This window comes from Homo sapiens, chromosome 22 (genome assembly GCF_000001405.40).
Source record: "Homo sapiens chromosome 22, GRCh38.p14 Primary Assembly".
NCBI lineage: Eukaryota > Metazoa > Chordata > Mammalia > Primates > Hominidae > Homo > Homo sapiens.
Genome location: NC_000022.11, coordinates 39,245,534 through 39,258,055, shown reverse-complemented (window position 1 = coordinate 39,258,055; position 12,522 = coordinate 39,245,534). Strand labels below are relative to the sequence as shown.

The 12,522-nt window shown below is 56.9% G+C and overlaps 6 annotated features.

The window, feature by feature from the left end:
• Positions 2,350–3,128: an enhancer, noted in NCBI's record as "H3K4me1 hESC enhancer chr22:39650933-39651711 (GRCh37/hg19 assembly coordinates)". NCBI's record gives its function as "activates a minimal SCP1, AML or CMV promoter by ChIP-STARR-seq in naive H9 embryonic stem cells {active_cell/tissue: H9 hESC(naive)}" and the evidence as "EXISTENCE:reporter gene assay evidence [ECO:0000049][PMID:30033119]".
• Positions 2,350–3,907: a biological region, named in NCBI's record as "H3K4me1 hESC enhancers GRCh37_chr22:39650154-39650932 and GRCh37_chr22:39650933-39651711".
• Positions 2,912–3,161: an enhancer, noted in NCBI's record as "active region_19037". NCBI's record gives its function as "activates an Ori minimal core promoter by ATAC-STARR-seq in GM12878 lymphoblastoid cells {active_cell/tissue: GM12878}" and the evidence as "EXISTENCE:reporter gene assay evidence [ECO:0000049][PMID:35858748]".
• Positions 2,918–3,212: an enhancer, noted in NCBI's record as "tiled region #6675; HepG2 Activating non-DNase unmatched - State 4:PromP, and K562 Activating non-DNase unmatched - State 7:EnhWF". NCBI's record gives its function as "activates a minimal TATA promoter and a strong SV40 promoter by Sharpr-MPRA in HepG2 cells, with weaker activation in K562 cells {active_cell/tissue: HepG2 | K562}" and the evidence as "EXISTENCE:reporter gene assay evidence [ECO:0000049][PMID:27701403]".
• Positions 3,129–3,907: an enhancer, noted in NCBI's record as "H3K4me1 hESC enhancer chr22:39650154-39650932 (GRCh37/hg19 assembly coordinates)". NCBI's record gives its function as "activates a minimal SCP1, AML or CMV promoter by ChIP-STARR-seq in naive H9 embryonic stem cells {active_cell/tissue: H9 hESC(naive)}" and the evidence as "EXISTENCE:reporter gene assay evidence [ECO:0000049][PMID:30033119]".
• Positions 4,383–4,432: a silencer, noted in NCBI's record as "silent region_13748". NCBI's record gives its function as "represses an Ori minimal core promoter by ATAC-STARR-seq in GM12878 lymphoblastoid cells {active_cell/tissue: GM12878}" and the evidence as "EXISTENCE:reporter gene assay evidence [ECO:0000049][PMID:35858748]".

The window sequence follows — 12,522 nt, the reverse complement described above, 5'->3', positions numbered from 1 at the left end:
AATGTTCTGGACAGCCAGGAGCAAGTGGAATCTGAAGAGGGATGGTGCAGCCCACGCTGGGTTGGAGGGGCCTTCTAGAGAGGCGGGATGTCCAACCTGGTCTTGGAGGGGCTGTGAGGGATGGAGGGCGTCTGAGCCGGCCCCTCTGAGGGGCCCCACCAGCCATTCTTGAGACCGGCCCCTGGGTGCCTGAGCACAGCAGGTGTGTCTCATCTATGTCTGATGGGGCCTGTCCCAGCCAGGGGACAGGGACTACTGAGGATTCTGGAATCCGGACCCTCCGAGGGAGAGAAGGGCTGAGGCTGGGGGCGAGAGGAACCTGAGCAGGCTCCGTGCCTCTGTCAGATGGAGGGCAGAGCCCTTGGCACCTGTCTGGGGGTGAGGAATGCTGGCCCAGGAAGTGTGGGGCCCCTCCTCTCCCAGCTCTCCATCCTCTGCTCTGTGGCGAGGCTATGCCTGGCCAGGCATTGTTCAAAGGTTTGAAAATAAAGGCTTCTTGGCCTGGCCCTGCTGGCAGAGGGAAGGGGGCAGCTCTGGCCCAGGCCTGAAGGATAACTGGCTGAAAAGGGAGGTCCCACCCAGCTCCACCTCCAGTACGGCTGGGAGCATTGGGGTCCTCGGAGTGTCCTGGCACCCCGGCTTCTGCTGCCTAGTGAGGCTGGGTCTGGGGCCTTCTCCTCCTCCAGGGGCTCAAGCTGCCCCTTCCCCACCAGAAGCTTCCAACAATCTGGGGCTGGTGGGGGACAGGTGCTCCCCTCATGCCTTCTTTCACCTACTAGCAGATAACTTAACAGTAATGATGTCTCCATTACCCCAGTGGGGTAGGCACCACTGTCATTACTGTTAGACACATGAGGAAACCAAGGCTCAGAGAGGTTGAGTAACTTGTCCAAGGCCACACAGCTGGCCAGCAGAGGAGCCATGGCTCAAGCAGAGGTCTGCCTGGCTCCTGAGTCAGAGCCTAACCATGTACCCCACCACCCCTCGCCTCCCCACTATTCCACCTCCCCTGGGCTCCCCTTCCAGGCCCTCCCTCTGGCCGGCAGAGCCAAGAAGCTTTCTGCTTCCCCTGAGTGGCCAGGGCTTGGGGATACCATGTAGGGTGCTGGGGGAGGGAGGGAGCCAGCAGAGAAGGGCTTGTGGTGGGGTGTCCATGTCAGCTTGTTAAATTCTCACACCCAGCTCTCACGCAGGGGCTCTGTCTGTTTTGTAGATGAGCAAACTGAGGCCCAGAAGAGATGGGATTTGAACCTAGATCCGTTTCTGTCTAAAGCCTTTCCTCACACTCAGTGTCTGAAGGGCTAATAGGAATCCCCAACACAGAACACTACCCAGCCTCTACAAGGTCCATGTGTGAACCAAGAGGCACCAAAGGGTGGGCTGGGGGCACTGTTGCTTGGGCACAGGACGGACGGCAGGTAGAAAGAGCAGGTCAGGAGCCAGGGAGCCCGGGCAGCTCCGACACCCGGATGTCCCCCATCCGACTCAGCAGGCAGGGCCCTGCCTTCCTCCGGTGGCACATGGCTGCCAGCCTCCCCTTCCAGACGAGATCCGGTGATCCCCTGTCCACCCCCGGGGCCTCTGCTGAGGCTGGCACGCTGGTGCTGGCACCGGAAAGCGACATTCCAGAGTCCCCCCCCAATTCCCTGCCAAACCTGGATTCTTGGCAGAGCAGGAGAGCAGGGGCTTCTGGGAGATGCTCAAGGCAGGAGTGTGGGGAGAGGGCTGTGGCTGGGGAGGATTGTGGGTGGGACCAGAGCGGGCACACCTGCCCGCAGGACGTAGGAGGGACCAGGGAAGGGACAGGGCAGACCGCCCCCACCCCCCAGGAACTAGGCATCTCTGGGCTGCCCCACCCCAACAGAAGCCTGGATGGGGCGACAGCACAGCCTCCAGACTGGGGGGAGCTAGGCCGAGGACAGCATCTCAGACGTGGTGTTCCTAAAAAGATACATCCTTCTCAGGTGGTCAGGTACCCCTCACTCCCTCCGGTCGAAGGTTTTCCAGGCAGAGCTCTGACTCACTGTGTGACCTTGGGCAAGACACATGCCCTCTCTGGGCCTCAGAGACTCATGACAGGGCTGAAACAGGCAAATCTTGAAGGCGCCTTCGAGCAAACGACTTAGGACACTTGGTTTTTATTGTTCCAAGATCTTGTGACTTTAGCCTCCTCCCTGGCCTCCCCTGTCCCATCTCTACACAGCGGCAACGGCTCTTTGTAAAACTGAGTCAGGGGGCTCCCCTGCTCAGCACCCTGGGGGAGGGAGTGCCTCTGGCTTCGTCCCCCTGCCCCTGTGCCTGCCCCGTCCCCTGCCTCCAGTGCACGGGCCCCTCCTGGACAACTTTCTTCTCTCCTGGGGCATCTGCCACTCACCCCTCCTCTGGCCCCACCCAGATCTTTCAATAGTTCTTTCTGGTCATCCAAGGCTCAGCTCAAATGTCAGAGAGGCCTTCCCTGACCCGTTTCCTAAACTTGTACCCTTCACCCACCCAGGGTTTGTGATCACATTTCTCTGATTTATTTGCTTTATAACATTTTCTCACAACCGGGGTCTTCTTGTTCATTTACTATTTACTTGCCGATTGTCCTTTTTGCCTCTGGACTGTCAACTCTGAGAGGGCAGGGACGCGTCTCCGGTACCCAGCTCTCGGCAGGCTCTCTCAGTCTTTCTGAATGAGTGACTCTGACACTGTGCGTTTCTCAGAACAAGCCCGAACTCCTGGTCCCTCAGCTCGAGATTCCTCCCTGGGGGCTCACTGCTCCCTCCCTCCGTGGCCTCCCCCATCCCAGGCTGGTGGCATGTTCCTGGGTCCTCAGCGCTGGGACAGGGTTGCCTCAGGCCCTGACCATGGGGCCCAGCAGCCCGGGGGCCTGGCAAGGCAGCACAGGGTGGGAAGGAGGGAAGGCCCATGTCCCCTGGTCCCCATGAAACCCCGTTCCCCAAGAGCAGGAGAGCAGTCCTGGGCCTGGAAACCCCCTTGGTCTGGCTGCTGGGGCAGGCAGTTCCGGGGTGACCTCATCGCCTTGAAAGGAGGGCAGCAGGGGCAGGAAACGGAGGACACATCAGAGAGACTAAATTTAGAGCGTTTGATTCAGCCCGGGCGGGACAATATTCCTGGAGTCCCCATTGTTTGTGAGGGGCCAGAGGGCAGGCTGCCCGTTGAATGCTGGGTCTGAGCCATGCCAAGCTGTCTGGGCATGCAGGGGTCGCGGGCGGTGGGTGCGGTGAACCCCCCACCTGGAGAGAAAGCTGGGCCAAGGGTCAGGGCAGATGAGGTGGGGTGCGAGCTCTGGGGGTGCTGCCCTTCTGATAAGGCCAAAGGTGTAGAGGGCGATGCCTCAAAGAGGAAGAGGGGTCTTTGCTCTCCTGATAACACGCCCTCTGCAGCGTGCCCCTCATAATAGCCAGGACAGGCGTTATCCTCCCCCTCCTCTGCCATTGCCCAGGCAGGGGTCTGAGGTTCGGCTGGGAGACTAAGTTGCTGAAGGCCACGTGGAGGATAATGCCCCAGCTCCCAGCCCAGGTCAGCAGCACCAGCTGTGCCCCCCGCCCTTTGTCCTACGACCAGGACAGGCCCTGCCCCCACACATCGCCCTGCTGCCCCCCACCAGGCCTAGCAGCTGCGGGTGGACAGGAGAGGGTGACTTGCCCTGCACAGACTCCAGAACCCATTGCCATGGCAACCTGGGGTCCAGGCTTGTGATGCTCTGGAGATGAGCCCGGAGCCGAGGACGTGGGTGAGGATGCAGGGGCGCTGGCTTTTGCCCCCTGGCCTGCGAGCACCAGAGATGGGCCAGCAGCCCGGCCAAGCTGCCTGGGCTGGTCACACTGGCTTGGCCGGAGGTCTTCCAGGGTGTCCTGTTTCTGTGCCCACGCTTCAGGCCACACTGCAGCGGGCGCCAGAGGAGGCTGCAGATTGTCCTGGATTCAGGGCCACCCTGGTGGGTGAAGGCTCTGCAGTCCCTGTGCTCAGGACCCTCCTGCTCCTGTCCAAGCCCCCTTCCTCCCTTCCCGCAAGTCCCACTGAGGCTCAGGGAACCCCTTGGGCCATCTGCCCTGGAAATGGGGAGAGGGGACTGGAAGTTCCAGTGGGCTGGTTCTGTCCACCACTGTGTGTCAGGCACAGGCAAAGGCCCCAGGGATGTTCAGAGCTCACCCCCGCCCTCCTTTCCTCTCTCCAGCTGCAGGAGGACCTGGGGAAGGAAGGCAGCCCCCACCCCGTGTATGCCAGATGAGTAAACCAAGGGTCTGAGCTGGGAAGAGGCCTGCCTGGGACCAGGCACAGGGCAGCAGCTTCACCCATCAGCCTGGGCCCTGCCCACTGCAGTCCCGGCCCCTCGCGGTCGCTCCCTGCAGCCCACTGCCCTGCCGGGGCGGCGGCCCGGGCGCTCGCTGCTCCTGTTGATTTCACGTCATGACTCATGTTATCATGTTCTCAGGAGCTGAGTAACCACCTGGGTTATTTATACCCTGGCTTGGCAGGCTTCCTTCCCTCCTCCCAGAACTCGGGCAGGGAGGACGGGGTGGGGGTGGGGAGGAACCTGGGAGGGGGACGTGGACTAGAAGAAGGCAGCTGAGCACCCCCACGTCCCCTCCCCTGGGGCACCACCCCCGTAAGGCACCCCAAAATAACCATGCCTATTTCAGCATAACAGGATGGGCCTGCCTCGATGGCATGGACCTATAGGTGTTATGATGGTCTGGGGAGGGGGGAGTTCCTTTCCCGAGCGAGTCACCCGTCTGGAAAAATAAAGAAGGAAAAAGCTGAAAAATTTTCCTTCCATCAAAACAGGAAGGAGCTGGGGAGGGGGATGGACAGGGAGATGAGGCTTGGAGGCTGAGGTGCATCCTCCCCTCCCCCACTGGTGGTCTTTAGGGAAGGGAAGCCCCGGCGCCTGGGGTCTCTAGCCTGCTCGGCTGGGGCCGGCGCCCTGGGTGTCTCCCGAGTGGGACATTGCTGGCTGCCAGGGGGTGTTTTCATCCTCCCTTCCTCCCGGGCCAGTGTACATTGGTTTACACCCACAATGCCTGTGTGCACGCAGGCCCCCCAGTCGCCCTTCACACCGCATCACACAGGCACGCTCACCCTCCCTGCACGCCCCCACCAGATCCCACATGGGAAAATATCTCACTCACACTGGTGGGTGGGATGGGGGGATCTGTCTTTCTGGCTTAATTCATTCTTCCCTCCCTTTGAGCACTTTCCTGGGAGTGCTGTGACTTCAGTTCAAACCCAGCTCCACCTCTAACCAACAGGGTGATGTTAGAGAAGTCACTTTCCCTCTCTGAGCCTCAGTTTTCCCATCTGTAAGAGGGGTATGATCCTTCCCATGCCGCTTGCTTCCCTTTGAGGCAGATTGTGCGACTGAATGAGGTTTGTGCCTCAGGTGCCTCAGCCAAGTGGGAGGAAGGTAACCACAGCTCCCATGTATGGAGTGCTCCGTTTGTGCCAACCCCCTTCATTCATTTGCTAGCTTAACCCCATTACCAAATGGGACAGGTTCCAGAATCACACTCACCCAGGGTCCCACAGCTGGGAGGGGGCGTGGTGAGCACTGTCGTTATCCAAGGAAGAACAGGGAGGTCCCCTGGTGCCCCAAGGGGGAAGGGGCAGAGGAAAGCCCATCCTCCATGGAACACCCCTTCCACCTGGGACCATCGATGATAACTCTGTGGCTTCAGCAGGGACGTGCCCCATGGCCAGAGCACATCTGTGCCCGGGGAGCACGTACTATGCCCATGGCTGCGGTGGTTCCTATTAAGACTCTTAGTCACTCATGCCGGCTGCCCTCTGTTTGCTTATTGACTTATATAACCACGGCCCCAGGGTGTTTATACAGTCGTCTGGGTCTTTCCGACTGTCTACCTGCCTGCCTGCTTTGGCCTGTAAGCCCCCCCTAGGGCAGGGGGCTCCAGAGAGGTGAGCTGGTGGTGGAATGGCCAATTCTTCCCGAGGATAACTCCGGAGGCGTGCCATGCACGTCCGCACACACTCCCCACAATCAGATCGTGTCTGGATACCCATTCTACAGACGACGACACCGAGGCTGCGGACGTTGTTCCTCCAGGCCCAGGACTCAGTTTTCATGCCTGTAAAATGGGGATAACGTATTTTTCTCTCCCTGGATTGTTGGGTGGTTCAGTGAGTTAATGTATGAGTTTGAAACATATAAAATCACAGTGTTTAACTTTTTAAAAAGTACTTTTTTTTAGTACAGTTTTCAATTCACGGCAGCAGTGAGAGGAAGGCACAGAGATAGCCCATGGGAATCTATGGGTGAGTGAGGGTGAGGCCCCAGTGAACTGGGCGGGTGTGTTTTCATCTTTGCCTGCCTGGCAGATGGGTAGAGAAGTGCAGGGCAGGGATGTTGGCACTGAGCTGCCTGGGTTCAAGTCCTGGCTCTGCCCTCAGCCATCCCTGACTTTGGCAGAGCTGTTGTGGACCTTGGTTTCCCCATTTGTGAAATGGGGGTGGCAAGAGCTCCTCTCATGCCCACGTGTCGTGCAGCTCAAATGAGTTATTGCACCTACAGGTGCAGAGCCGGCTGCCCAACTGCACGGCCAAGGCTACACAGAGTTTGCTCTTATGAATACTGGTGGAAAGTTTGTGACTTTTAGTTTTTTTTGAAGCAGAGTCTCACTCTGTTGCCCAGACTGGAGTGCAGTGGTGTGATCATGGCTCGCTGCATCCTCGACCTCCTTGGCTCAGGCGATCCTCCCGCCTCAGCCTCCTGAGTAGCTGGGACTACAGATGCACGCTACCACACCAGGCTGATTTTTGTATTATTACTATTTTTTTTGTAGCGATGGGGTTTTGCTGTGTTGCCCATGCTGGACTCCAACTCCTGGGCTCCAGTGATCCGCCTGCTTTGGTCCCCCAAAGTGCTGGGATTATGGGTGTGAGCCACTGCTCCTGCCTAAGTTTGTGACTTTTATACTGTGGCTGGCTTCCCATTCTTTTGATAGGCTCACCATGCTTCCTGCAGTTACAAGCAGTCTCCTCTAGCAAGCTGGGATCCCCACCAAGAGGGGTGCCCGCTCACTGCCTGTCCGTCTCTGCTTCCCAGCTCCATCCCTTCCAGAATCCTCAGTCAAACTCTTAGAAAGCGACTGAAAGGATGCCCTGATTTGGAAAGGGCTGGCTAACCCATACCTATTCCATCGTTTCCCACCTGTGGACCCACCACAAGCAAATGGCTTCTGTCTCTGGGGTGGGGGTGGACCCGGGGCCCCCCCGAATCCTTGGGCCCACTGCCTCCAGCCCTGCATAGCCTCTCCATGTAGTCCGTATAATTTTGTATGTATGCATCATGGCATGAAGAAGGCTAGGCAGCTGCCATCTAGGCACACAGGGAGGCATCGTGTGGCTGGGAGGTGGCAAAGCTGTGGGCTTCGGCATCACAGCCTTGGATCAAATCCCGACACTGCTGCTTCCTTGCTGGGTGGCGGTGGGAAAGCCAGCAGGCTTCTCGGAGCCTCAGTCTCCTCTCCTCCCCCGGATGAACAGATCAGAGCACCAGGAGTGGGTCAGGGCTCAGCCAGGCTCTCTTTCTTTGCTGGTCAAATGGTAATCACTGTCCTACCGCCTTCCTCAGGCTGTCAGCTCAAGAGCACGATTGGCCCAGGGTGAATGCTCTGCAAGGGAGGCTGTCCTGATGACGGGCTCACTCCAGGCCCAAGAGGCAGGCAGCAAAGGACGCTGTCAGGATGGGCCTTCTCTGGGGAGAGCCAGACTTCAAGCATCAAGGTGGGGAGGGGGGGCCCAGACCCCCGATAGGGTCATCCTCCAGCCCATCTGGCCCAGCTCCCCTCACCCCAGGACGGTTTCACTCGAATTCCAGCCAGCTTGCAGGGCAGATAGGTCCAAGCTGCCCCGTCCAAACATCCTCTTCCTTGTCTGGAGCCTGGAGGAGCTAAAAATGCATCAGCTTTGGGAAAACAAACACTGCGCTTCCCTCGCCTTTGTATACAGGACAAGGCCCAAGGCCGCAGGGTGGGCTCCTCCAGGCTGGCTTAGGCCTGGGGGTCCATCTGTCTGCCTTCCTGGGGGTCTCCTCTCCTGCCTCCCTGGCACTCACAGGCCAGTGGCCAGAGCCTCATTAGGGTGAGAAGGTCTGAGAGAAGTGGCGGGAGTTCTATGTAAGAACAACCTCCACCCTCTCCAGGTGAAGACCTGTGGCCCCTCTCCTAGCGCTGGCTCTGGAGCTCAGAGGTGAATTTGCAAGTGAGGTAGGGGTGTGTGTGTGTGTGTGTGTGTGTGTGTGTGTGTGTGTGCGCGCGCGCGCAGAGCCTGCAGTAATAACCATCACTGTGATGACCAACATCTGTGGGGTGCTCACTCCAGGCTTTATCACTTCAGGTGAATTAACTCATTTAACCCAGTGAGGTAGGGACTATTGTCCCTACGACTTACAGAGGAGGAACGTGAGGCTCAGGAAGGTTAAGGAATTTGCTTAAGGTCACAGAGTTAGTAGATGGTAGGGCAGGGCTTTGAACCCAGGTGGTCTTTGACGGGAAGCCTAGTCCCTTGCCCTCTCTCAGCCTCACTTTCCTCATCTGTACAATGGGCATATACGATGGCAATGCCTTCTCCCTGGGCGACTGTGAGGGTGAGGCAGGCAGAGGGGAAGGAAGTGCTTTGTGGACAGCCAAAGGCCCTGTAGACAGGGAGGCAGGGGATGGGGCAGCAAGGGGCATGGGGGAGCTGATGAGGGCCACGCGGAGTGGGGTAGGGCTTGGAGTTTCAGACCATTTGTGGCATGGTCTTGGACGGTCTCCAGCTTAGAGCCTCACTTCCTCTCCATCAAGTATGGAGAAGCAGAGCTGCCTGGCCCAGGTGTTGCTGGCCCCTCTCAGTGGCGGGGAGGCTCCCAGTGATCATCGCTCTCACCTTTCTGGACTTGAGGGCGTGAGTTTGCCCCCGGGATGGAACCCAACTCCTTCCTTGGTATTTCTTCACCCCAGCCAGTGTCCTGGACCCCCACGCCCAGGGTGTAAGATGCTCTTCATGGATGAGGGCTTGGATAGCTCTGAGCACACAGTCTAAAAAGCCCCCAACCTTGGGCAGCACCCCCATCCCCCACGGCTGTGGCCACTCTTTTTCCCTTTGGCTCAGATCTGTCCTGGAGTGGAGGGTGGAGAGTTACGGGGGTGTGGGCGCCCCCATCCCTAGCTCTGCTGGAGAACCTTATTTCCCAGTGGCCTGAACGCGAAGATGGGCGGGGGCCTTCCCAGTTCTCTCATTCAAGTGCTCCTCAGACCCAGCCCTGATGAAGTTCCGAGGTCAGATGAGACCACGTGCATTCAGGGTGGTGTGGCTTCAGACCCTTCCCAGTTCTGATACCTCCAGAAGGGGTGCCCTTCAGGGGCCCTGTGCTTCCAAGCTTAGAGGCTCATGCTACAAGCCCCTCCCCAACTCTTTCCACCCTTTAGGAAGGGCCTGGCATCTCTGCAATAACTGGTCAGGACTCAGAAAGAGAAATTGGCAGGATTTTAATCATTTATTCATTCCTTCAGCGAGCGGCACTTCCTGAGCAGCCACTGTATGCTAGGAGCTGGCAGGAGGCCCTTGAACACTCTGGACTCAGTCTAGTGCTAGATTGATGATCAGGCCATGACGATGCCAGGTGTGCATGCTGTGGAGCCTGGAACAAGTGCCAAGCCTGGTGGGCCTTCTGGAGGAGGTGCCTGCTACACCCAGCCTGGCAGGAGGCAGACGATCAGGTGTTATTAAAAAAAAATTTTTAGGCTGGGTGTGGTGGTTCATGCCTGTAATCCCAGCACTTCGGGAGGCTGAGTGGGGCAGATCACTTGAGGTCAGGAGATCGAGAGCACCCTGGTCAACATGGTGAAACCGTCTCTACTAAAAATACAAAAATTAGCTGGGCATGGTGGCAGGCGCCTGTGGTCTCAGCTACTCGGGAGGCTGAGGCAGGAGAATCGCTTGAACCTGGGAGGCAGAGGTTGCAGTGAGAAGAGATCGCACCACGGCACTCCAGCCTCGGCGACAGACCGAGACCCCGTCTCTGAGATGGCTCACTGCAGTCTTGAACTCCTGGGCTCAGGGGATTCTCCCTCCTGACTCAGCCTCCTGAGTAGCTGGGGCCACACTCAGATATATATATATATATATATATATATATATATATATATATATATATATATTTTTTTTTTTTTTTTTTTTTTTTTTTGGTAATTTTTTTTAAGAGATGGGATCTCGCTATGTTGCTGAGGCTGGTCTCGAACTCCTGGCTGCACATGATCCTCTGGCCTCAGCCTCCCAAATTGCTGGGAATACAGGGGTGAGCCACCGTGCCTGGGGAGGTGTTCTTTACAGACTGTTCCTCTGCACAGAGAAGGTACAAGAAAGGAGCCCTTAGCACAACATTCAGGCCCAGGTGTCACGCAGGTGTCACGTAGCATTCAGGCCCAGGTGTCTGCTGGGCCCTCTTCTGCCACTTCTAACCCATGTACTGGCACCTGCACTGCAATGATTTGGGTCTATCTCACTGAGAGCATGGGAAGTCCCTGAGTGCCGAGGCTGGGACTCCTTCCTCATTCCATTTCTCAGCGCTTCACACAGGGTCTGCAAACAGTAGGCGTTCTACGATGCTGCTCTGAGTAGCCTTCCCTCTCCCTCAACTTGTACCTAAGTCAGAGTTCATATGGGTCCATCACTTTTTAGCTGGCAGAGCAGGTTCCCACATATTAATGCATGTGGCGCTCACCAAAGCGCTGTGTCAAAAGTGTCATCATTGTCATCAGCATCACCTGCCAGAAAATTGCACAGCACGGTGGTCTCAGCATGTGGGCTCTGTAGCTGGACTGCTCAGATTCAAGTCCTGGCCTTACCACTTACGGGCTGTGTGACCTTGAACAAGTGTATTGGCCTCTCTGTGCTTCCATTTCCCCATCTGTAAGATAGGAATAACACATCTCACAGGAGCATGGAGAGGCTACAGGTAGAGTAAGAAAAACACTAGCTACCACATAGTCAGCTCACTAATCATGGTAGTTGTTACCATTCTATTTATAGAAGACACAGAAGGTCAAGGTCAAATGACCCAGCTGTCCGGTGGAAGAGGGTTTTTATCTCTGAGTCGTTAGACTTCAAATCTAGTGTTTGGGGGTTATCTCCTCGTCCCGCTGCCCCATCTCCCTTGTCACCCTGTCTCCTAATTTATCTGTTTATACATCTGGTTGTCCTTCTCAATGGGGCTCTTCAAAGGCAGGGGCCTGCATTAGGCTGGTTCACACCTGTCTCCCCAGTGCCTGGAGCAGTGCGGGGCCACCAGTGAACTTGAAGGCTGCATGGAAGGTTCCAGGCGCTTGCTTCCTGCTAAGGTGTTTTGCTGAGCGCCTCCACATGGAGGACCTCATGGGAGCCTCCAGACCACTCCAGGAGCAGGGTAAAAATTCTCTACAACTGCACTGAGGTACAACAAACTGCACACATTTTGTTGTGATGTACGTATACACCCATAAGCCCATCACCACAATCAAAAATGACAAACATTTCCATCACCACTAAAATTTTGCCATGCCTCTCTGTTCTCTCTCACTCCTTCCCATTATAGATTTATTTTTATTTCTTTAGAGATAGGGTCTTGCTCTGTTGCCCAGGCTGGAGTGCAGTGGCACAGTCACAACTCACTGCAGCCTCAAACTCCTGGGCTCAAAACGATCCACAGTCTCCTGAGTAGCTGGGACTACAGGAGCTTGTTACCACACCCAGCTCCAGTTTATAAATTCATCTCCAGTTTATAAAGGAGGAAACCGAGGTACTGAGAGGTTAAAAAACCTTCCTGCAGACACTTGTCCAGCAAGTGGCCACTCCAGGATTTGGACCAAGGTGATGTGTCTTCAGGCTGTGTCTCTGCCACTGTGCCACGCTGCTGGGTGGTAGGCAGCAGTGGGTGGGTGCCTGCAGTGGTCTGTAAAGACCACCTGAGATGTCCTTCCTCCTCTGTTCCACCCTGTCCAGGTCCAAGAAGACAGTCTATGAAGAGAGAGCAGGTGTGACTCTCTCAGTGTGCTCCTCTGTGAGAAGCAGGCTGACATCCCAAAGGGAAGGGCGGATAACAGAGACAGTGCAAGCGGAGGAGATGAGGGTGCCTCAAAGCCGGGAGGCTGGGTGATGCAGGAGCCTGCGTGTCCCGAGGGGGGTGCTGGGCCCAGTGTGAGTACGTGTGACTGTGACTGAGACAGTGTGACTGCTGAAGGCAGGGACACAGCAGCTCCCTGACTGGGGGCAGAAGGCGTTAACTGTGTGAAGGCTGGTTGTGGGTGGGTGGGCTCTGGGCCTCGAACCCGGGGGCTGAGGGAGATAGTAAACAGCAGGGTGACTGACGGGAAGATCATGTTGGTAGCCCTGCGAAGATGCTGCAGGGCTGTGGGGGTTTGTGTGACTTTGCAGTTCAACAAATTCAAATTCAGCCAACGCTGGCAGGGCCTGTTGTGCCAGGCAACCAGCTAGGAGGAGGAGACTCGGACCCAGCTTGCAGCTGAAGGGCGCTGGCTG